Source organism: Homo sapiens, chromosome 18 (assembly GCF_000001405.40).
Source record: "Homo sapiens chromosome 18, GRCh38.p14 Primary Assembly".
Taxonomy (NCBI): domain Eukaryota; kingdom Metazoa; phylum Chordata; class Mammalia; order Primates; family Hominidae; genus Homo; species Homo sapiens.
Genome location: NC_000018.10, coordinates 55,318,647 through 55,342,815, shown reverse-complemented (window position 1 = coordinate 55,342,815; position 24,169 = coordinate 55,318,647). Strand labels below are relative to the sequence as shown.

The following is a 24,169-nucleotide window of genomic DNA, read 5'->3' as shown; positions in this document are numbered from 1 at the left end:
GTTTCACAGGTGCTCAGGTACATTAACACAGTACAATAATATTTTCTGGCTTGCTTTTTATGAAACGAACTTGAAGTACAAAATAATTTAATAACAAGTGGAGTATAAAAACTGGAGCTCTAGCTTAAGAAAGTTTAATAACTCAAGACGTTAAAGGATAAGAAAAAAATTGTCTAAGGAGGCAGCAGTGTTTAGCTCATTTTGCGTTACTACTAAAGCTGAAATTTATTAGGAGAATGTTTATGGCCTGATTATTTAGACTTGTTGAGTTAGTTTAAATTTTTTAAACGATTTGGTCAAGTAGAAAAGCACAGTTCTGTATCTATTGTACTATTTGAAAGTATTGTTACATAAAATAAATTCGAAATTCTGCCATTTAATACTCAGGCATATGATTCAGGAGTGAAATTGCATTGCCAGAACCTTGGGGTCCCTCATGTATCTTAATATGAATTTTATTTTTAGAGGTGTATAAGACATTGGCACATATAATCTGTGGCTTAATTGATAACAGCAAAGAAAATGGAATTAAAAATATTTATTATTAACAGATACAGTTGGGATTACAAAATTCAAACTGCAGTCAGTAATTATTTTACAAATAAATGCTATTTCATTTTCCCTTTAGTAAATATATCAGTAACTTCACCCAATATTGATGTAAGTGAAACCCGACAGTAACAAGCTGGGAGTGCCCAGGTAGAAGGGGAAAAAAGCATGTTCATTTATTCATTCATTCCTTTCTCCGTTTATACTTATTCAAAGAGTATTTTTCATTGCAGCTAAAAACTAGACACACCATGTAACATGGAACATGTCTTTTTCTTCTATGTATTCTTATTTAAATCGTGGAGCTTTTCAACTGAGATTCTTCACGTTTAATGAAATTTGCAGTCTTGTGTCACTTGCGTCACAATTTGTAGGAATAACCTTAGCATTTTAAAGAGTATACCGTGTAGCCTTTTGAGAAAGTCATGCATTTGAAAAATAAAATAACCCACAAAGTGTAACACATGGACTTTTGTCCCTTAAGCTGATTGCCCTTACTCACTTGTCACCACCTTTACGAGAGTGAGGGATATGTTTTAGATACATTTTTTTTTGTCCTATAGAAACCAGACTCACTGCTTTACTTATGCGTATTACTCTGAAATATATTTCCAGTGAATGAATATAGTAGTAAAAGTGGTGTAGCAAGGTAGAAAAAACACTGCACTAGACATAAAAAGACCTTTCAAGTATAACGTCTGACAGCCTCTACTTACACACCCAGTGGCCTTGGTTAGGTCACAAACCTGCTTCTCTGTCTACAAAGCAGGTATAAAATAGTGCCTGCATAATAAGGTGGTGTCAATATACTGATAACAAACCTTTATCAAAGTACTTATTCCATGCCAGAGTACTTATTCCATGTTCTAAGTGGTACACTATTACATCATTTGCATCTATTGAATCATTTATTCCTATAAAAATCCTGTGAGATGGGTACTACTGTTTATTCAAGAGACTTAAAAATGAGACACAGAGAGGTGAAGAAACATGTCTGCGGTCACACATAGTAAGTGGCAGAGCTGGGAGTGAGACCTGGGCAGCCTGTCTCTAAAGTTTCTGTGTTCTTAACCATAGTGCTGTCTATGCTGCCTAGCGTTTCAGACACTCTGTAGACCAAAAAGCTCTCTACAGCAAGGTTGTCATTAAGTTAGCAAGTATTTGACTATCTACAATAAATTAATATTCAGAAATTTCATTTCACTGTAGAGTGATCATCAGTATCTCTGTATAGTCATGTCCTATAACTTTTGCCCAAGCAAATCAGTATGCCAGGCAGTCCAGGGGAGCATCTGTGTAAACAAAGACAGTATAATATAGTGGTTAGAGTATGAAATCTGATCAACTGGGTTTTTAGGGGGCTATGTCACTTCCTAGCTACACAGTTATTTGTAAAATAAGTACTCATTGGGGTTTGAATGCATTTATGTAATATCCTTGAATGTTACATACTATTGTTACACATAATAAAAAGCACTGTCATGCTATTATCAGTAACAAGGTAACTACCTTTCATTTGGCATTTGAGAAACAAATCTAACATGGCAGCCTACTTAGGAGTAGTTAGCAGTAGAATAGAAACTAAGACCAGGGTCTCAGCTATGTTCAAAAGAATTTTACCTAACAGAGGTCACTTGCTTTTTCTGAAATTATGTAATATTGCTTTTTTTTTTTTTTTTTTTTGAGATGGGGTCTTGCTCTGTCACCTAGGTTGGAGTACAGTGGTGCAATCATAGTTCACTGCAGTCTCAAACTCCCAGGCTCAAGCGGTCCTCCCACCTCAGGCTCCTGAGTAGCTGGGTACACAGGTTCACAACCACCACACCTGGCTAATTTTTTTCTTTTTTTTTGGTAGAGACAGGGTCTCCCTGTGTTTCCCAGGCTCTGCAAACCCATCTCTATCAAACCAAGACACGTAGTCAGCCCTTTTAATCATTAGACCTAGTGGTCTGCAAAGTTTGTGTTGGAAATACTTTATCTTCTCTCTTTTGAACTGGTACATCGGCTGTGATGCCCGGAGCTGCTTATACTGTGGTTCCCTTGGCCAATAATTTGTTTATGCCTAAATCAGCCTTGCCTCTAAGTGATAAGGAGATACGTGCTTTTTCTTTTGTTTTGTGTCAGTGGTATTCTCTAATAGGCCGGGAACGGGTCTGCCCAAGTGATGCACAGCCCCTTGGTGGGGCTGGCTATAGATCCCCCCGCAAAACTGAAGGTTAGGCCTAAGATATTAGCTTTGCCTGGCAAGATGAAGATGTGTGGACTAGGTAGACCTGTGTGGCAGTCTGTTTCTTTTATAAAGTAAACAGAGTTCAGTTTGTTTAGGACTGCTTAGGTAGATTTCTTACACTGAGCAGGAATATTTGTACAGATGTTTTAAGGTAAAGTCAAAGAATGGCTAGATTGTAGCCTTTGACGCATTATAATGTATCTTTTCTCAGTGCCCCTGTTGAATTCACAAAAGAAAAGGTATTTTTGATCATCGGCTATGAGAAACTTAAAACACTTTTTTTTATATATAAAGGCTGATTTAGTTAACTCTTCTTGCATTTAAAGAAAAAAACATCTGCTGAAAGTAGGGAGGGGGGAGGTGTGAGCGGAAGCGTGGTCTCCACATTCCACAATGAATGTCTTTTCCCAGCCAATTTTAATTTGCAGAAAAACCAGGCACTGAGTTAGATTCCTCGGGAAAAGTCCCTGTTGGCTGATGAGCCCTGAACTTCTTCCGTGTACACCCTGAACAGGGACTGATGCTTCAGTTCACAGAGATAATTTTTCTCTGGAAAGCCGATAGATCCGATTTAGCCACCCCTCATTTGTAGTCATTGCCACCTTGTGGATTACAAAGGATATTGGTTTTCATCAAACTTCCATTTCGATTTGGCTTTTTATGGCAAGTACACGTTGGCAGTGGATTGCCGTGTTCCTCACCAAAAGGATCCTGGTTTGTTCAGCAACACCTCACTTCTCCACTCACAGTTCATTTATGATTCTGATGAGAGTGTTTTTTCAGGAAACACACATTTCACTTTTTGACCTAGGAGCATCTGTTAGAATTTTTTTTTAATACTACTTTGGCATTCTGAAAGTGTTAATGTCTTTCATATCTGTTTAATGCTATTTAGGGATATTTATGATCACCTCTTGGTTACTCAGGGTAAAGTGTGTCGCAATTTTTTTTAAACAGACAGGAAAGCATTCACATGAGGAAACAGATTGCTTTAAACATGTGCTTCCTGTGACAGTAAAAAGAACAAATTAGATTTAACACTGTGTAATGAATGCATAAATGTGTACATTTAAGCTTTTAAAAGCTTTATGTTCAGTTCTGGTCACAACAAAAATTGAGTCACCTGTAAAAATTAAAGATGCCCAGGGTACTCTCAGACTTTTGAAATGCCCAGCAATTGCAGTCCTCACCTGACGATGCCTCGTTGGAATTATAAAAAGCATGATCTATTAGTGCTGGAGAGAACTAGAACATTACAAGGCACATTCAGAGGTTAAACCAGGTTACAGTCAGATTCCGTACATTTAGCAAATAAATCAGAATTTGTTGTGGGGGGGAGAATACTTCACTCTCATCTTCCTCCCTAAGAATCAATGAAAAAATCAATTTTCGGGAACCCCATATATTCCTCTGTCTTTCATGAAAGAAAAAGAAGGAAACCTGATGTTTACTTACTAGCATTTACTACAATTTAATTATATAAGAAAATGACTCTTTTTCTTATGTAATTCAGTTTGTGTTTTGTATGCTGGCAGGGAGTGAATAGAATCTGAGTTAATATTTCCAGTTAGACTAGAGTGTGGAATTGGAGGGCCTGAATCCTCTCCCCGGAAGAAGAGGCACTCATGGCCATTTCTGTCTGAGCCTGCGGATAGTGCCTCTCCGTCCCCTGTGCTTTCAAAGCTAAGGATTTGTGGCACGCTTGCCATCTCTCTGGCCAAGGAGGGCCAGGAGAGAGTCCCTCGGGGGAGGGCACATAGTTTGAGGACATCTGACTCTCTTCTATCACATACTGAGGTACTAATATCAAAACAGACTGCTTGTCGTCGCACGGTGGGGCAGTGCTTTTTTTGGCTGCCGTGGTCGAAATGAAATGGGCAAGCTGTAGTCCGCTTGGCATCAGAATGGGCTAAGGGAAGCAGGGAAATCAGAGTCAGACTGTGAATGCAAGTCACAGCCAATGGTTAACTTCCTTTTTGTGTGTCACTTGGCAGCAGCGAGACTGATGGTGATTTTTTTTTTTAACATGGGTGAGAGTTCAGTGCCCTAGGAAGAGCCGTAGATGCTGTTATTGTGCTTCCTCATACAGTTGACTTGTGTTGATTTCTTGAGGCCAGTACAGCTGTTCCAAGAGCCAGCTCCAGGAGCTTTGTGTGTATGTACATGGCCATCGGACGTCGGATGAAAAAGGTAAACAGATGAGAGGTGATCCATACAAAATCTCACTGCTGATCACTAGGCAGTCTTAGGGGAATCAGGTTCTGGCATAAGGCAATAATACCAAAGAATAATATATAGTGCACTTGAAGGGATACTCCCTTGTATACAGACACCCAAAGATATTTTTAAATTATCACCACTCCGCACCCCTCATCTCACATACAGGATTCAAATCAATTTTGGACTGTCTGGAAAATGTAGGACTAAAATAGCCAGATTGAATTCAGATAAAATTACCTTCTGCTTTTTTGGGAGGTTGTTGCTTTTTGGTTAGCCACATTATTTTCTTTGAAGATTCATTTGGAAGAGAGTTTGGTAGAATTTCTAGCCTCTCTCAAGATTTTCCTCCCATTTCTCTGTTTGCAAAGAGCTGTTCCCCAAAGGCAAAAAGAGCGAGTTGCCATCTTGAGCGAATTGTATGTTTAGTGAACACCAAATGGTCTCAGAGTTACCCTAAATTTTCATTATATCTGGTTGCTTTCAAATACTATTTATTCCCCTCAAAACTCCTAACCATTTATATAAGATATCAGTAAGATGACCAACTTCTGACAACCCAAAAGCAGGGAAGGAAGCTTAGAAATAGAATACCATTTGTCTGGTAATTAGAGTGTATCTCTTAAGAGTTCGAGAGAATTCTGATTAACCTTTCTGTTCCCACATTCTCACGTAAAATTAGCACACCTTTTAAATTATTATCTAGTATTTAAACACATATTTTTGAGTCTTCTTAATGCAACAGGTTCTGGGGACACTAAAAGTGTGTTATAGTTTTCTAAAAAACTTCATTTTTCTTACATTTTAAATGTTCTGTTTGTGCAAAATTTCGAGAATCACCATAAGGGCTTCTTTGCATTTTTAATTTAGTAACTAACATATGAATAAATTTGCATATTAATTAGTTGCAGATTAAATCATGCATACATAATTGCCTCCTTACTGTGTTTAATGTTTGTCAAAATCTCCAGCCTGGTTTGATGGATGTCGTATGAAAGATTACAATTTGATGTACCCTTGGAAGTATTTACACCAATAATGCAAGATTCTTAATAGCAGAATTTTCTAGTTATATACAGTTACTAATAAACATGTAAGATAGGTACATGTCCCTTTGACTAAAATTTTTTTCTTTGCACCAAATCATTTACTATTCATAATCATTAATGCATCTCCTAATTATACAGCATATGTCTGTTAACCCTTTCATTGCTGGCCTTCAAATGGTAGCTTCTTTCTTTTTCTTGCCCCCTAAAGAAAGCAAAATTGTTTGATAATACTCTGAAATTACTCGATTGCCTTTTATTTATTTCTCTCCTAGTATATGGACAAACCTCATTTGCCATTTATTTTAACATACAATAGATAATTATATGATCATTTTGTATTTTCTAGTTAAAGATCATAAAATGACCCACGTGCACATGGTTAGTAGCTGATGGGCTTTTGCCTTTCTTTTACCAATGCTGAAAAAAATTGAAATATTTCAGATACTTCATATAGTAGTAAAAAAAAATGTATACACAGACATACTCTCTATTTAGGAGGGTAATTGTAGAATAAGTAAAAGTATTAAAATTATATTTAAATTCATTTTGAATATTGAAATGCATTTAATGTATCATGATCAAACATAGGATGGAAATGTGATTTTTTTTATTAGAATTGAGATCTCTGAAGTAGAAACTGACAAGAGAATAGATGCTCTTGATTTGACATAATTTTAAAATGCCAATAAATGTTTTCTCAAATTTCTTCAGGTATTTAATTTTTTAAGTTTTATCTTACTCATATAAAAAGTAGACCAACTGGCTTTTTTTTTTCCTTTTTACTATTTTGATGTCTAAGCTGCTTATCACACTGTATTACCCTGCATTAATGAGTATTCCTACTGTGCAAAATTCTATCAAAAATGATGGTGTGAATGTCATTTTTAATTGGAAGTTTATACAGTCAAATTTATAGTACACAACAAAAAATATGTATGTAGTTCTGCTCCAAGCCTTTTTTTAGGCTTTTGATCTTTTTAGTTTAAGTATACATTTTTATTAATCTAAGTGTCATTTGAAAATCTACACAAATATGACTACATTTTTTATTAATACCATTGTATTATGGAAGAGAGGGAAACTAAGGCATAGAGTAATTATAATGTCTGTAAACTGTAAGAAGAACAAATACAAGAATGACCAAGAATAGATTTTCAGGGGTCTTTTTTAGACATGAAAACTTGCTGACCGGTTCTGTATGTTTCACATAAGTCAGACTGTATGATTTCTGTCTTCTTTATTTTTGAATGCCTGCATTTATATGCCTAGTAAAAAGGCAAAGGTTAAAATGAGTTGAAAGCATAAACAGCTGATTTCCCTTCTTTGATTCTTTCATAGGAGAAATAATGTCTCCTGGTCACCTACCTCAGGAGCATTTATTTGCTTATCACAGGACACAATGAACTATTTATTGATTTAACACAACATTCTTTTACAACACGCAATATTACATTAAATTATTTAGCAATGTGAAAAATGAAATGAAAGCTGCAAAACTTATAAAAGGAAGCAAACAGTCAGACCTGAAACATATTTATCCACAGCCATTGTGCCTAGGTAATTCAGGGCATATGGTATGTAAATGATATTTGGAGATCCTTGCCAAATCTACACACGACGGGATAAATTAAGGACAGGTTTCCCTGGGTGTGAGTCCCATGATTGTGGCCGGCACACTTCCTGCTTGAATGTGTGTGTTCTGTTCTTGTCTTTCAGCAAGAGCGTCACAGAGCATTCAGTGGCCAAATCTGGTCCTCAGCTGACTTCTAAGACATTATTTGCAATTCCCAAGAATTGATTTTATGATTAAATTTAAAACATAGTACCAATTTGCCAAACTTTCCCTTTGCTCTCACATTTGAAAAGTAAGATCTGAATAATTTGTCAGGATATGTTTAGATATTAAGCCATTTAAATGGGTATCTTTGACATTAGAAATTGAGTGCCTCTGAGCTTCTTAGTCACTGAAGAAAGGTGTTCCTGAGCAGTGACTTTTCTCTAAGCTAGGATTAAGATGTTTCCTAGAACAGACTATGAATTATTTTGAACGATTGATAATTTTGGTTCCAGGTTGGCCCAGTAATAATTTATTAATTCAACTTGACAACCCAAATTACTGGTATCACTTATTTTATTTTTGAATTATTATTTTGAAGCATATACTCTCATTTCTAGAAAGGTGAAGGCACTGACTCCTATTTAGAATAAATTTTAAGTAGGTAAGAGGTTATGCTGTTTTCTTTTTTTTTGAAAGGAATGTCTTTTCTAAGCTGGGGGTCTTAGCTCAGAGTTTTTAATGCTTTAAATTAAGGTTCATTTTTATCTTGGAATTATGCAATTGGAGATTTTGATTAGAAACTATGGCAGAATTTTTTCTCCTATAATTTATTGGACTATACCTAAAGAGTGCATTTACTGTGCACACTTAATTATAAATACAAGACTTATATGTTATTTATAAAAGTTATTTCGGGGTATTTTAAGACATGTAGAGTATGGCTTAGGATGTTTTATTGTTTTTACTATTAAGAATAATGCTTTTACTAAATAAAACTGTGTTTCTTTTATAAAAGATAATGCTCTTAATATTATGGTTTTATTTGAATTAGCAGTTTAGTCTGTGTCCCCACATTCCATTTCATTTATGGAATGCAAATAACACTAGTTACTGCATAGAAAATGAAATTAGGCTGAGTCCTTGTTCATTGCTGTGTAAATTGGGTAAAAATCAGAGAAAAAAAAATACCCTTGAGATCAATGTAAATCAATACTACTTGAGACAGATCCAGCTAAAAATTCATGAAAGGGGTCACAGTTCTGGAGGAGTTTATATAATTATCATGTAGCCTATAGTTTGTGAACTCAGGGCAAAGTTCTGAGCTGGTTGTTCTGGGACCATTCCTTGGTTCATTGAAACTACTTTGCACAGCTGTGCTTCAAACTCAACAACAGAGAGCAAAAACAATATTCACTATAAAATAAACCTCGTCCTGCCTTTCAACTTCACTGTGAACTTGCAGTCTTGAAAACAACAAAAGGGATAATCGCAATTGAGATTACAGAATCCAGATTAGATGTAATACACAGTAGGGTGGTATGGCCCAATTTTACTTACATGGGGCAAGTGGAAGTGCTGTGAATGCCAACATGTTAAGCATCATAGCCACTTATTAAGATGTTAGCTTTAAATGTCAGTCTTTGGACCCCATTTGAAATGAAGCACCTGCATTTTATTCAAAGAAATTAAGATATATTGGGGAATGCGGAGGTGAGTTGAGGGTTTTTTTTGTTTGTTTTTCTGTTTTGTTTTGTTTTTTTTTTCTGGTGGGAGAAAGTGCCATAGACAATAGAGATAAAATATCTCAAGTATTAAAAGTCTATTTTTATACACTGTATGATTCAAAATGACTGAGCAGTTTTGAAATTTTGTAGAAAGAAAGGAATATAAGGAGAATAAGAAATGATATTTGCATCTTTACAGACAACTCTGTATAGCACATTTAAGATTCTGGCAATTTCCTTACAAGTATCTGAAAATTAGGAATTATGAAGGAAACCCAGACAGATACTTAACTATAGCATTGCTACCAGGTGTCTCTTTGATATCAATGAGTTAGGAAACCTTAAGAAAAAAAGGTTAAAACATCCAGAATGATAACTTATTTTAGAATATGCTTTCAGACAAAATATTTCTTTGTTAAGAATGTTGAAAGGTTTTATTTAATTGTTCACATATATTTAGTAAATTTTTTGGTAGACTTGACCGATTAGGCTTGTTTCATAAAAGATGTGGGCTTCTGTGTATTTAGATCTTAAGTTTATTTCAAATTGGCCTTTATAAAACTTTAGTGCCTTTCTCTTAGAATTCTAGTCAACAAAATTATATTCATCAAGTGTATACATCACAGAAGTAACTGGTGATACAGAGTATAATTCCTACCATATTGTCAAATGGAGTCTATATCTCCTCAAAGGGAAAGAAACACTGACGTGAGTCAGAAGTTTTCACTCACTTGGCACTGAATCAGCTTAAAGTTCGAGGTTGAAAAATTCACAAATATTTATAGCACACCTACTAAGTGCCACGCCTCCTGGAAGGTGGACAGCAATGGCCAATGTTTCTGCCATTGGAAAGATTTGCACCGAAGTGTGTATGGCCACATGTAGTTGTACAAATCAGAGTTCATTTTGTAATGCTTTATAAGGGTCTGGTACCACTGATTCTCCTTGCAGACTAATAAACACAGAGCTTATATGACTCTTAAAAATACAGTGATAGCAAGTGCATCCTAAATTATGTAATCATGTGGTCCATGATAACAGTGTAATATATGATATACAGATGGAATCAGCCACCTGGCTTACTGTAATTGTTGTTGAGGTCCTTTGTTATGAACATATATTTCTGTTAACAATGCAACAAAATAATTTTTTAAGCTGTTTTTTTTTTTCTGTACTGCCTCAAATCTAGATAAACGGAATGTGTTGGAAAGGACAACAAATAAGAAGTTAAATATGTGGAAATGACATGGAAAGCACCTGTTTCTTCCCTTTGTTTTCTTCTACGTCATCAGGAAATAATATTTAACCATAGAATATGGTGTCCCTCTAAGAAAATGTTTATAATTGAATGTTCAAAGTAGAATATAGATTAAATAAGTAAAGATGACTTGCCAAAAAAAATTAAAGAACATTTGAAACAAACAGAAGTCTGCATCACACATAATAAGTGGCATAACAGTATCACCTCTCAAAAGTGACAATAGATGTGTCCATCTTTATGCCTTTAGCATGTTGTTGGCATTATTAGTTATTGTATTGAGAGAGTAGCCACGCTATACAAGAGAAAGGAAGGTAAATTAGATCCCTCACGCCCCCTTCTTCTGTGAATTGTATATGTTTTTGAATACACTCTCTGCCAGGACAGCAAATAAAATTTGGTTCATCCCTGATCCTCAGCAGATTATAATCTAGGTAAAGGACAGACCAGGTTCATGAAATCAAAAATAATAATTAGAACATTTGGAAACTAGGGGAACAGGTCCTCATATTGTGTGCATGTTTTATCAGTCTAAAGTAGATATAGCTCTATTGAAAATTGTTGGCTAGTAATATGCTCATTTTCCCATTTCATGAAGACTTATTCTCAAATGGAAGTTACAGCTGGCTATCGTGTTTTTCCGACAAACTCTCTTCTCTGTGGACATGATGATTTCTGTTGTTGTGGAAAGGAAGGAAATAAATCTCTTTTTGTTCCTCATTCACTCAATGAGCAAAGTGTGATTGAGCTCCTATTGTGTGCAGATTATATTGTTGGAGCACAGGACAAAGAAAGCTAAATTATCATCTTTGTTTAGAAATTTAAGATATTTGGGAGCAGCAAGGTAGATGCCTATGCCTAGTTTATTTAACAAGGCACTGAACTTTGCTGGAGAATCCTATATTCTAGAATATAGTCCTTATCTGGAAGTGACTACAGAACCTGATTCTGGATCACAGAGAGCTGCAGATCTGGTGTGATTAAGACAGTGGCCACAGATACTCCACTGAGCTTCTGTCTTGCAGCTTCTGTCTGTCTCTTCCCTGAAAATCACAGGGACCACAGATACTCCACTGAGCTTCTGTCTAGCAGCTTCTGTCTGTCTCTTCCCTGAAAATCTCAGGGACCGTGTGGAGTTTTGCTTGGTCAACTGGAGAAACAACTTTTGATTGTTTTTATGTTTTTCAGAGATTTATTTGCCAGAGATATTACATTATAATAAAAACATAAACACAGAAGTTAGGGATTGGAACAAAGGTTATATGGTCACAATTTAACTCATAGTTATTTGAAAATTATTGGTTTATAAGGAAACAGATTTAGACAAAGCTAGAACTTATGCAGGTAAGTTACAAAGCTAGAACTTACTCAGGCAGTTGCTCACGTCTGTAATTCTAGCACTTTGGGAGGCCGGGGCGGGCGGATCACGAGGTCAGGAGTTCAAGACCATCCTGGCCAACATGGTGAAACCCTGTCTCTACTAAAAATACAAAAATTAGCCAGGCGTGGTAGTGGTGCATGCTGGTAATCCCAGCCACTCAGGAGGCTGAGGCAAGAGAATTGCTTGAACCTGGGAGGCAGAGGTGGCAGTGAGCCAAGATCACACCACTGCACTCCAGCCTGGTGACAGAGCGAGACTCCGTCTCAAAAAAAAAGAAAATGTAGTGGACACAATACATTTAGATTTTTAATAAAGTAGACATATGTTTATTGCAGAACATATGAGCAGTTGATTAGTTAAAGATATCCAACATGCCAGGCGTGGTGGCTAACACTTGTAATCCCAGCACTTTGGGAGGCCGAGGCAGGCGGATCACGAGGTCAAGAGATCGAGACCATCCTGGCCAACGTAGCGAAACCCCATCTCTACTAAAAATACAAAAACTATCTGGGCATGGTGGCACACACCTGTACTCCTAGCTACTCAGGAGCTGAGGCAGGATAATTGCTTGAACCCGGGAGGTAGAGGTTGCAGTGAGCCGAGATCGTGCCACTGCACTCCAGCCTGGCAACAGAGTGAGACTACATCTCAAAAAAAAAAAAAAAAAAAAAAATCCAACATTGCTGGCAAGTTTGAAGGTCACAGCCCATGTACAAAATTGGTATATCTTGAGGAACTCTTGTCTTTATCATATGTTCTGTACCATTTCCTTGCACACAACACAGTTACTATATGATGGTACTAAGTAGATACAGGTCCAGACCCCATAAAGAATGTGGCATTCAGTTCTTGAACAGATGTTAGAGAACACAACCCACTCGGCAGTAAGGGATATCTTCAACTAGAGGGAAGGGTGAGAGTTGACCTGTTTGTCCTTTTGACTCATATTTAGAAATGCTAAAGTTGTTTTATGTTCAAAATGCATTTGATAATCATGCCTGAAGAGGTCAAAGTGCTGACATTGTTGAAAACAAATACCCCTGTCAAACAAATAGAGACAATTTTCATGTCTTTGGTTGGTAAGCACCATAATTTGGCCTTTGGCATTGCTGTCAGTAAAGCTAGTTGATGACTTTTACATCAATTTTTGGCCCAACCATAAATGAAGGAAATAAGACCAATACTGCCACAGTACTTTTTCTCACTCATCACCCATACCTGATTCAGCTGGGTTAATGTTAAAAGCCAAAATTTATCAATATCAATTTTTTTCCCAAATCATTCTTATTTTAGTACTGTTTATGCTCAATAAAAGTTTATGAATTTCTTTCACTGTTATTTAATGAAAACCCAGAATTTTTTAAAATTGCACATTATCTCTTTAAAAAAAGTCTTTTAGATTACTCGTGGGATTTACTCTAAGTTGTTGTCTTTTAATAGAAGATGATGCAAAACTTGTCTCACCTGTTCCTTCCTGGTCGTGTCTGTGTTTATGTGTGGGGTGGGTATATAAGTGCTTTTGATTAACAGAATGAAGAGAGTGCTTATTTTGAAAACTCAGTCGTTAAAATTCAAGTTTATTTTGAGTTAAAGAACACCATATTTAGATTAGGAATGGACCAATGACCTGCTTAAGCTTTAGGCTATCGATTGGCCTTGAGGGAACTTAGATCTGCTAAACACGAACTTGAAAAGGCACTTCAGTGATGGATGTACGTTGGATGCTCTCACTGTATGGTCATTCACTTGCATTTTAAAATTTATGTTTTGTTTTTCCTTTATACCTACTCTTTTCATTCCGTTTGTCAGAGGTGGCCATTTAAAGTATTTGACAATTGTTTGTTCTCTGCCTAGCAAGTTGTCCTATTGCTCCATGATGTGAAAGAACAAAGGTAATCAACAGTTAGAAACCTCAGGAAATTGCTAGAATCTTCACCCCCAAAGAGGGTTAATAAACCCTAGATAATTAGTTCATTTAGAATGAAAACCATTTTCATTGTAATAATCACATTTCCCCTCTGATTATCGAGCAATGCATTGGGAAGCCTGATATTTATTCACAAATTTTTTAAAATTGAGAACATCCTGTGCTGAGATTCCAGTCAGCTTCATCCATCCATTTTTTGTTAAAAGTTTCTCAACTATCATCCTTCATCCAGACAAATAAACATAACCAGGATTTCCCCTCTAACTTTTTGGGAATTCATTTACACGTGTACCATTTTGAGGGAAAAAAACAATTGTCCTCGAATTTCATTTGACTCAGGTGATTGTGGTAAGCTCGCTAACCAGCTTCATCTAGGAAGTGCAGCAATCTGAGTCAACTTCCTCCATCTCTGTTTTTACATTGTCCAGTGTGATGCTTCCTCATTGTACCAAAATAGAAATGGTTTGTTTTTGTATCAAACTTGGAGACTGGCTATGGATTACACTGGGTTAGGATAAGGGTTTGTTATTTTTTTTTTTTTAAGAACATTCCACTTATCCCAAGGGAAAAAGATTGACGGCCTGGGGAAAAATAAGAGGCATAATGAAGTCTTTTCTCCTTAAATAAAAATCACATCTAGTCTTCAGATGTGTCAATTGCACTATGTTTGCCTAATTTCATTTAATATTTGAGAGATTTAGTAGTAAATTTATGACTTTTGCAGTTACTTTGCAAAAAATTGAGGAAGGAAGAAGTGAATTTCACTTTGAGTCAAATGTGTAGGTTCCAGTGTAATTAAACCTAAAAATCTATATATTCTGGTCTTGCTACTTGGTATTACACTTTGCCATATCACATAATGCTATTAGCTACATTTTACCTTGTTTGCAGGGTGATGCCATTTTGTATCTCTGGTTTGTTGAATTTCCTAGAAGATGTTATGTTCATGTAGATAATGGCATACTCATTGAATTCTTTACCTCAGACATGAAAATATGTGGAAAAGTGGGGAAATGAATCTGATCAGATTTCACTGTATACTGAAATTTGAGAATCTGGTTTTTGCATCTATTTTGCATGCTGCTGTCTCTCCAAACCATATATGTCTGTGTGAGTTTTTATAATGCCACATAAAGCAAAATGAGAAGTCTCTTCTTTCTTCTAAAGGGAAATAGTGCCACAGAAAGGTAGAAGTCAAATATTTACTTATGGATCAAAAATCTAGTTAAAAAACAACCCATTGCTTACCTTAGTAATCAATGTGAATTACTTTATAATCAATATGAATACAAGCTATCTGACCAGTCACTCAGAAAATAAATATTTGATCATGTGATAAACCATTTGAATGTCTACATATGAACCCAGGCCATATAAAAATAACCAATTCAAGATAACATAGGAAGTCACTAAAAAAGACACAAATAAAATTAGATTTCACAGTTTACGCTGATATTTTGATACTTTTCTGTGATAAAAGCATCTTCCAAACTAAATGTGTCCATATTTGAACCATGTAAATAGTTAAAAGTATTTTACCTGAGAATATCTAAATGATGCCAAGAAAATAAGTTCATGCCACTAAAAAGATTGAGATGATTTGTGCTTTATCTGACTTCTTGGTGTAATATGGATTTACTTCAGATAAGTATATTTTCTACTTATCCGATAAGTGTGTTTATCTGAGATAAATATTTTCTCCAGATACGTGTGTATATTGAAAAAAAATTTAAAATAATTAGGATCCCAATTGAAAAAGTAAAAATCTTAATTGCTTAATAAGAAAACAGTTATTTCATAGTCTTAAGATTTCAATACAAAGAAATATGGGAATATACACGTAAGAGGTTTGTTGGTGTTCATTATTAAATTGCAAGGCTGTCTCAAGTTATTGTCATCAGAATAAATTCTGTGTGTGTGTGTCTGTCTGTCTGCGTCCTCCTGTTAGTAATTAGATCTTTTATGAAGTTGTACTCATACCTATTAGGGATTTTTGTCATTGCAGTTTTAAGTTGAATATGACACATGGATCCTTTGTTGGGTCTAAGCTATCACCATTTATTACAATTTTTTATAACATTCCATATATATGCATCTACTAACTAAACATCAGCCTTAATTTAGCTTATGAATTAAATTTTTTGTTAGGAGTGACTCCTGCTGGAGAGCAAAAAATACCAATTAGTTTAGCTTCTAAATAAACTATACTCCTTTTTTCAATGGACAAGGGTAACCTCCTATTCCTTGGCTTGGCAACATTTACTATTCCTCTAAGTTTAAAGATGAGAACATAGATTTGAGTACTAACACATCAGCAGAAATTATATTTTTAAGTACATACATAATTCTCAGGCCAGTCGTGTTTGGTGCTCCAAAAAGATTTGTGATTGAATATCTTTGCTCCATTGGGAAGAGTTTAGCATGGTGCTGTATTTTTATAATTCTTTTTTCCATTTTAGCAGACTTCACCTAAGTCTATTTTAGGTGGAGATTTTTTTTTTTTTTTTTTTTTTTTTTTTTTGCTGCTGCTCTTTAAGGCACTCTTGCATAGAGGAAACAGCAGAGGAGACACAAGGAAATGCACTCTCCTTTATAACATGCTGCTGATTCTCTGAACTAGGTGTCCTCTCATTTAAGCCTCAAAAGAAGCTGTGTATTAACTAGATGAAGGAACTAACACTCAAACCTGTGATACAGCTTGGCCAGAGTCACACTGCTGGGGAGCAGCAAGGTTACTCATCAAGATGTGTCTGACCCTCAAGTTTAAGTGCTCTGATTTAATAACTTTGCTCACACCCTGATTCCAGTGTCTTAGTAGCTTTTGATCTATAAAATGTCATCTAAGGATCTTTGAGCCTTAATTCTTTGTCTTTAAAGTGGGAATGATAATACCTGCCACAGAGTACTAGTTATGGAGATTAAATAAGTGAAGGCAATTATTATATGTTCTTTAAATTGTGTGTCACTGTACTGTGCATGTATTAAGTGTCGTTTTATTAGCAAATATCTTTTTGATGGGTAGATGTTTACCTGAGGTGGTTATTTAATTTATAGGCTGGCTTGTTCACACTATGTTATGTAATCATTGTATATTAATGAATATCACTATTTTCCTTAGGATATGATGTTTAGCTAATTCAGCCATGCTAGGCAAAAGAGGTCAGCATTGTAGAAATAAGCAATGTCTTATACTGAAAAAAAGAAAGACAACAACAACAAAACAACAACAACAAAAAACAACTTTCCGTGTTCAGTGACTTAAACAGAAACATGGAGTTGTTCAAATTCTACCAAGTTATATTCGGGAGGAGAAAAATGGGAATTCCTTCCATATGACCATTCTTCATTCATTCATTTATTCAGCTTCTATTTGTTGAGTTGCCTGCCTTACACTGCAATATGCAGGGCAGTTTGTGTGTGTGTAGATGTTCATTAGGTTTATTTGCACTTTGCAGTAACCATGTAATATTATCATTATTCAGAAATAAAGGTAGAATCTACTCTAATGAGCTCTGTGGTCGAGTGGATAGTTCAGCTCTTTACCCTGTAATAGTTTGTTATCTAATTGTTTAATGTATGTGCGATTGCCTTCACAATTAAAGCATTATTCTTTAGTCATATTTTCTCTCTTTTCTCAATTTTCTCAGGAAGAAAATTGACATGTCTGTGAACCCTGTGCATGTCCCCAAATGGAGCTTAACCCAAAGTTGGGAATCACTAAATAATTGTTCATGAAATGGTTGAATATAGCTCTTCATTCAAGTGATGTAGATTCTGAATATTTACTTATTCTTTAATGCAGTTATTCATTCATTCGGCAAGTTTTTATTGAACATCTACCTTGTAGGTAATACTATGCCAATGCATTGGGGGTTTTAGGTCAAATATTTCCCAGTTTCTTATAACAAATGTATGTGTGTGTTGTCAGTTCTGCTTCACCTCAAATATATCTGTCAAAGACTTTTTGGAAAATTACAAAAGAACTGTAAACTTTAGATTCTAGAAGAAAATAAGAATCGTGTGGGTTTCATTTAAGTGGTCAACACTTCTAGACAGTTTGCTGGTAAGAATTTTTTTCCCCAAAAGTGGCAGAAAAAGACAACTGGGTTCATTGCCTACCCCCAGTGTCCTCAATAGTGCTTTGTCTAAGCACCAGAGAGGGATGGTGGCTTTCTGTATAGTGTGGCTAACCATCATTCCCCATCATTTCAGCGATAACAAGGCTGGGCATGGGGGGTGGGGGTGGTACCAAGTAGGTAACCAAGTTACCTACTGCTGGCAAGGTAACTTGTCCAGTTATACACTACTGTGAAAACTGTGTCTGTGAAACAAGCAGTAGACTAGTTCAGGGTCCTGTAAAAATTGGCTGCTTAAGATTAAGACTTCTTTAAAATTATTCTGAAACACATGGATTTATGCATATAGCTTCAGTTGTTCTTATACTTCTGTTCTAACTCCCCACGCATCACACTAAAAATTTATCATGGATGATATTTCTGTCACAAAGAAAACTTCAAAGGCTGAGATCGCAGAAATGTCTCAGTTGACAAGCCACTGACTTGAGTTCTGTGATTGAAATGTACTCCAAGGTCAGCAAACCAAAACCAAACATCACTGGATGATAATACGTTCAGTGTCTCACTGGCTATAATTCGTAGATCACCTTTCAAAGCATTATATCTTTATTAATCATTGTAAATTTGTGCTTTTGAAATCTTAGACTCGTTTCCATTAGGCAATGAAGCCCAGAAGCTTAATGTTCTAGTCTCATTTTAATTTTTTCAGTCTTATGTGCTGAATTGTCAGGGTTTAAAAATCGATTTCACCTCATCAGATTAAAAATATTTATTTATGCACATGTTAACAATATATTAAAAGAAATGAGAGCTTCAATTTTAAAAATAGGAATTGTAGCTCATTAAGCCATGACAATTTGGTTTATATTTACATAATTAATAGGAAGGCATTTATATGTTTGCAAAATAGGTAAGAAAAGGTATTTAACGTAGATGAAGCAGAATGATTGTTTATCAAAAGAGTTTAGAGATCTTTCTAGCAGTCTACCCATGGAAAGTTAGGATCTAGAAAAGCCTTCTCAATAAGGGAAGAAACAACAAAGAAACAACAACCAGGAAACTCCCCAACTTATCTCTTTAAATTCCAGCCTCTTTTCTAAGTGGTGGTTTTTACATACTGTCCTCTGGTAGGTGGGTACCCTGGCCTTGTGTATTAAGCAGTGAGGGTGGTTTAAAGGTTACAAATGTGATCCTGTCAGATTGACAACTAACTGTTCTAATGAGGAAAAAATCCTCAAAGCATGAAATTTGAATGAAATGTGTGATTATAATTCAAGTACTGTTTACACAAACCTCTGGGGACCTTCCGAATAAATGCAGAGCAAGTGAGTTAGACAAACCTCTGGGCCTTCGATACGTGTGTGTGGATGTGCGGTGTGTGTGTGTTTATTTTAGAGAGTGGGGAAACTTTCCACCATTAGCCCGGGCTTTGCTCCTCGGAACCAACACCACTATTCCTCCTTGTTTATTAATACTGTATGTGTTTTGTTAGCATATTGAGTTGTAAGGAAATAGGTGCTTTGAATTATTAAAGTTGATTCTTGAGAATAGATGTATGCTCGGGTGGCATTTGCTTCGGCATATGCAAATGATTTAGTTTCATTTGGGATCAATTCCCAGAGGCCCTCCTTTCCTGTGATGCTCTGAATTTGGCAAGCTCAAGTCAGCCCATCTCCTCTCCCCACATCCCTCCCTTTCTTTCTTTCCTTTTTTTGTACCTCCCCCCGCCTTTTTGTTGATTGGTATAATATTTTTAAAAGACAATAAATAAATATATCAACTTGCTTGTGAGAAACCTTGCCATCTATAAGGATTCTATTGTTCAGTTGTGATCAATAAAGGTGAACAAAGGTTTTCACGTTCTTAAAGTTTAGCAAAATCGAAGTTTAGTAAAAATGTGCATGAGATGTTTGCTAAAATATTTATACAGATACTGGGCTGCGGGGATGCTGCAAAACTCTGAAAATGTGGTCTCAGGGGTGCCTTTGGGGAAACTGACAGCTGTAAGATATTCGTCGGTTCGAAGGTACCAATAAACTTGCTTTAGAGCCCAGCAAATAGCGTGAAGTTGCAGTAGATTGTCTAAAGCTACAGTGAAAGCACCCAACTCCAGAGTGGAGAACGTGCGCCCTTGGGGCGCCCAGCGCCAGCGAGGGGAGCAGCGCCCCAGCCCCTCCGTAGGCTCTGGGCCCATGCGGCTGTCTGCGGCGGGGCGAGGTGAAGTTCATGGGCGGCCGCGCTTCCCACCAGCTCCGGGGAGGCCGGGGCCCGCGGAGCCCGGGGCGGGCCGCACTGCTACTCTGTTTCATTCCGCAACCCCGTTTTGTAGGTTGTTGACCAAGCAGTCAGAAAACACTGCCCCCTCTCTCCTTTTGAGCGAGGTCAGAGACGTGGTGTTTTTTTTTTTTTTTTTTTTTTTTTCTTCCCTCCCCTTTCCCTCCCCTTTCTCCGAGTCGAGTTCTCAGGCAGCTGCGTACAATGCTGGGAGCTAGCCAGCAGCAGAGACAGATGGCAGAGTTATTAGATGTGCATCATACGATTCCCTTCCTGCCACTCGCTTTTTAATCAAATTAAAACAAAAAAGAAAGAGAGGGAGAGAGAGAGAGGGGGAGTCAATTAACTGCATTTGTATTCTGCTCAATAATGGACCCTGTTCCACTTTTACCCTAAGGCAGTTGAGTGGAAATTTTAGAGAAGAAAAGGGTGCCTAGAACAAAACAAAACAAAAAAAAAAAAAAAAAGGAAAAAAAAAAAGAAAAGAAAAAGAAAAAAGTGAAGACTGCAGAAATTTGTAAGAATCGGCATTATTCGAGGAACTAATAAAAACCCCTCGGAAAAGTTGAATCGATCTCGCGTATGCATTAGGATTTCGAGCTCCATCAGGGCCGGGCTGCCTTCCAGCTCCGCTGCGCAAAGTTGAGCGTCTGACAGCAGCGCCGCGGCCTCCCCCGCCCGCCAGGAATGGTCTCTTCCTGCTTTGCATATTCACCACGCTTGGCCCGGCCATATGGGAAAATGCAACTGAAGGAATTGTTGTGAAAAAAGGGACAGCGAGTTTGAAATAAAAGTTGTTAGAGTGGTACTGAGGAGAAAAAAGAATCCGAGACCATGTACTGCGCATACACAATCCCGGGCATGGGCGGCAACTCTTTGATGTACTACTATAATGGGAAAGCGGTAAGCGAATGCGGGCTGCGAGGGGGATTTTTGACAAGTTTTATTGTCGCAGGGATGAGCATCCTAGGTGGTGATCATTGTTTGCAAAGTTGTGCAGGACTGCCGCACCTTCCTGGGTGCCATGAAATATTTATCATTTGCCAATCCTAAGATCTTCTTCTTGCCTACTTCTTCTCCTTCGTCTTTTTTTCCCCCCACTCCTCCCCCAGAGTAGAAAAATAGATGCTTTCAGAGCTTTAGAGAGTGGATCCTAGAGCGAAAGTTTGCAGTCAGGTAAAGTTGAGAGGTGGTATGATTTTTTTTTTTTAAAGAGTTTTGGAAAATTCTTATTCCTTCCAAATGACTGTTAGAAAGGAAAAGCAGATATGAGAAGCAGAATTGAGAAAGCCCAAGTTAGGCTGAGAGGAAATTTGGGGTAAGTTTCTCCCTGGATTGAGGTTTTGTGATATCTAAAGTCTTACTAAGTTGGAAGCTTGAGTGCAGTGGATAGAGTGGAGAGAACCTGAAAGGTTAAAATAGAGCAAACACATAAAACTGAGAGATCAAATTAAGGAGTAGATTATATAAGCTTAGATATATATTTAAAGCCAAAATGGGGAAGGAAAAACAAACGGGTTCATTCATGCATATAACAGTATTGTCATAAGTTATTTGTGCTGTGTGGCTTCTTCCCTCAATTTCCCCCCCTTCCAACAGAAACGCTTTATTTAAGAAAAAAATGTGTCTGGTATTTTGTGCATAACCCCAGCAGAAGGTTTATACTTGCCATCTGGAGGTTTATTTTTTTTTTCCTTCGTCTGGGCCCACTGAAGGAAAAGGATTTCAATATTTTCAAATCGGTATGTGGGGCTCTCGGGAAGAGTTGTTGGGTGATAGAGGAGCAAAAATTTATTGTTTTAAAATAGAAAAGAAGAATGAGAGAAAAGTGAAAAGCAGCCATTTATAAACTGTTCTCTTTGTGTACTTTGAACTTCCATTTGGATTGATCTTAATCAGGGATAGTTGGGCCAAAGGGGACAGATCAGAGCTTTCAGGAAGGCCCAGTTCAGCTGTAGCAATTGGCGCAAACGAATTAAACATGTGTATGTGCTGCTATATGCCTGTGAGTGTATATACATACAGATGCATGCATAACGGTTATTTCTAGATGAGCATATTCTGTAATACATACATATACACAACTGTTTGAAGGTGCAGTTTCAGAAGATTAATAATTTCATTTAAGAAGCCAGTTTTATGAATGGGCAACTTGAAATAATATCGTTTACTTTTATTTTGAAAAGTACGAGTAAATCATCAAAAGTTCATAGCGCTATCCTATTTTTATCTTTTTTAAAAAAGAGCACGGTGTAATTAAAATAGTTAAGTGTGGTAAGGGAAATATAATTTTAAAACAAATGGTTTTCGTTGTGATTTGATCAAAGTGTTTAAATCTGTAAACATAAATATTGGGATTATGTAACATCTTTTTTTTTTTTTAACAAGTACATGATTTGCAATTGGTAGTTACTCATATATAGATAAGACTTTTGCCTATTATCTTTTAGATGTTCTCATACATAACTTATTCAGCACCTTTCATTTTAAAGCACTTTTAATGAAAATTTTGTGAATGATGCCATCGTAGTCAGTAAGCAAAAGTGTCTCTGAAGCAGATTCAGGGATTAGATAGCCCTTATCCGTAATGAAAGACTTACATTATAAAAGAATATAAGTTTCCATGGTTTTTATCTTTCAGGATTACCAATGATGTGACTTTTACATGTTAATTGTTAATTTTGCATCTTAAATATCTGAACTGACAAAATTTTAATTTAAGTTTTGTACCTTTTAACTCCCTTTTGGCCAAAAGGAATTTTCAAAAATATGTATTCCATTCCCACAGCTTGCCAGTTGCCTCCACCGTAAGAAAATGCTGAATATGACATCATATCACTAATATGCCCTCTCAGTTGCCAAATATTTTGGTTGTTAGATTTTTTTTTTTTTTGAGAGGATGGTACTCATAAAATCAAGATCGCTCTGTCACAGGAAATGTATTTATAGGAACTGTTTTAAGGCGTTTATTAAAAACAAATCTGGTGATGTGTATCTCTATTGATTCAAACACTAGAAAGAGGCAAATTGTACACACATTATAGTTAGAAAAAAAATAGCCATTTGGAACACCAGCAGAAAGCTTTTGAAACTGCGGATGGCTACCAGTTGTCCATCTTAGCTTTATGAAACAGACAGCAAAGTCCAGTTGTGTGTGTCCCAAGGAAGGGGCCAATTCTATACCATTTTTTAAAATGCCCTCATGCATACACTGAGGAAGCAGATTTTTGTTTATTCTACAGTGTGTATTCTGCTGGCTCTAATTCTGCATTGAGTGGCTTTTGATTTGGTGCCAGACATGTTGTGGAGATTGTATATACCATGCGTTAATTGTTCAAAATGCCTATCGAAGAGACTTTACATTTCTTGAGTTTTACTTATCGTTTGGAGGTTGAATATCTATGCTTTTTTGTGTGTATGTGCATGTCTAACCAATGTGTGTTTGAACCTGAATTGTTGAAGTTAAGTGTGGTCAGCTATTTGTTGCACAAGTTTTCCTCTGAAGAGAACACAGCACTGAATTCCTTCTTTTTTCCCAGTGACAAGTCAATTACTTGTTTAAATTCAGTTTGAACTCCCTGAACTGAGAGAGGCCAGAGGAAGCAGGTTTTCCCTGTGAATAAACAAAAGAAGAAAAATGGAAAATCATTCCAAAACACAGTGATTTTAGCTTGTGGGAAGAATATAATTAAGCATTACAAGAATTATGGTTTCTTCTTTTATGAACTGGCAACTATAGGGTTTGTAAAATCAGTTGTCCTCTAACTTTCTAGCAGAAATATAATCAATGATATTTTAGGACAAACGAAAAAAACGTGAATTTTTTTACTACCTTAAGTTATGAAGTGTTTCCATGTCCATATCCCACAAAAAAATTTTTCCTTGTTTCTGTGAACAACTGTACCTGTCCAGAAGTGTGGACTCTG

General features: G+C 36.4%; 1 protein-coding gene across 44 annotated transcripts in view, besides 1 other annotated feature; it reads left to right on the top strand.

The window, feature by feature from the left end:
* TCF4 (transcription factor 4) overlaps nt 1-24,169 on the top strand; it is a 413,773-nt gene that overhangs the window by 293,142 nt on the left and 96,462 nt on the right. For 3 of the 44 annotated variants that reach the window (NM_001348214.2, NM_001243235.2, NM_001243234.2), the window contains exon 1: nt 20,975-21,146. The exons of 40 other annotated variants lie outside the window; for them this stretch is intronic. In NM_001348214.2, the coding sequence (NP_001335143.1) occupies nt 21,078-21,146 (69 nt within the window). In that variant the 5' untranslated portion in view covers nt 20,975-21,077. Of the gene's footprint in view, nt 1-20,974; nt 21,147-21,880; nt 21,986-24,169 lie in introns of those variants that run through there. One more of the 44 variants, NM_001348215.2, reaches the window with a different exon arrangement.
* Nucleotides 20,029-20,408: a silencer, noted in NCBI's record as "silent region_9474". NCBI's record gives its function as "represses an Ori minimal core promoter by ATAC-STARR-seq in GM12878 lymphoblastoid cells {active_cell/tissue: GM12878}" and the evidence as "EXISTENCE:reporter gene assay evidence [ECO:0000049][PMID:35858748]".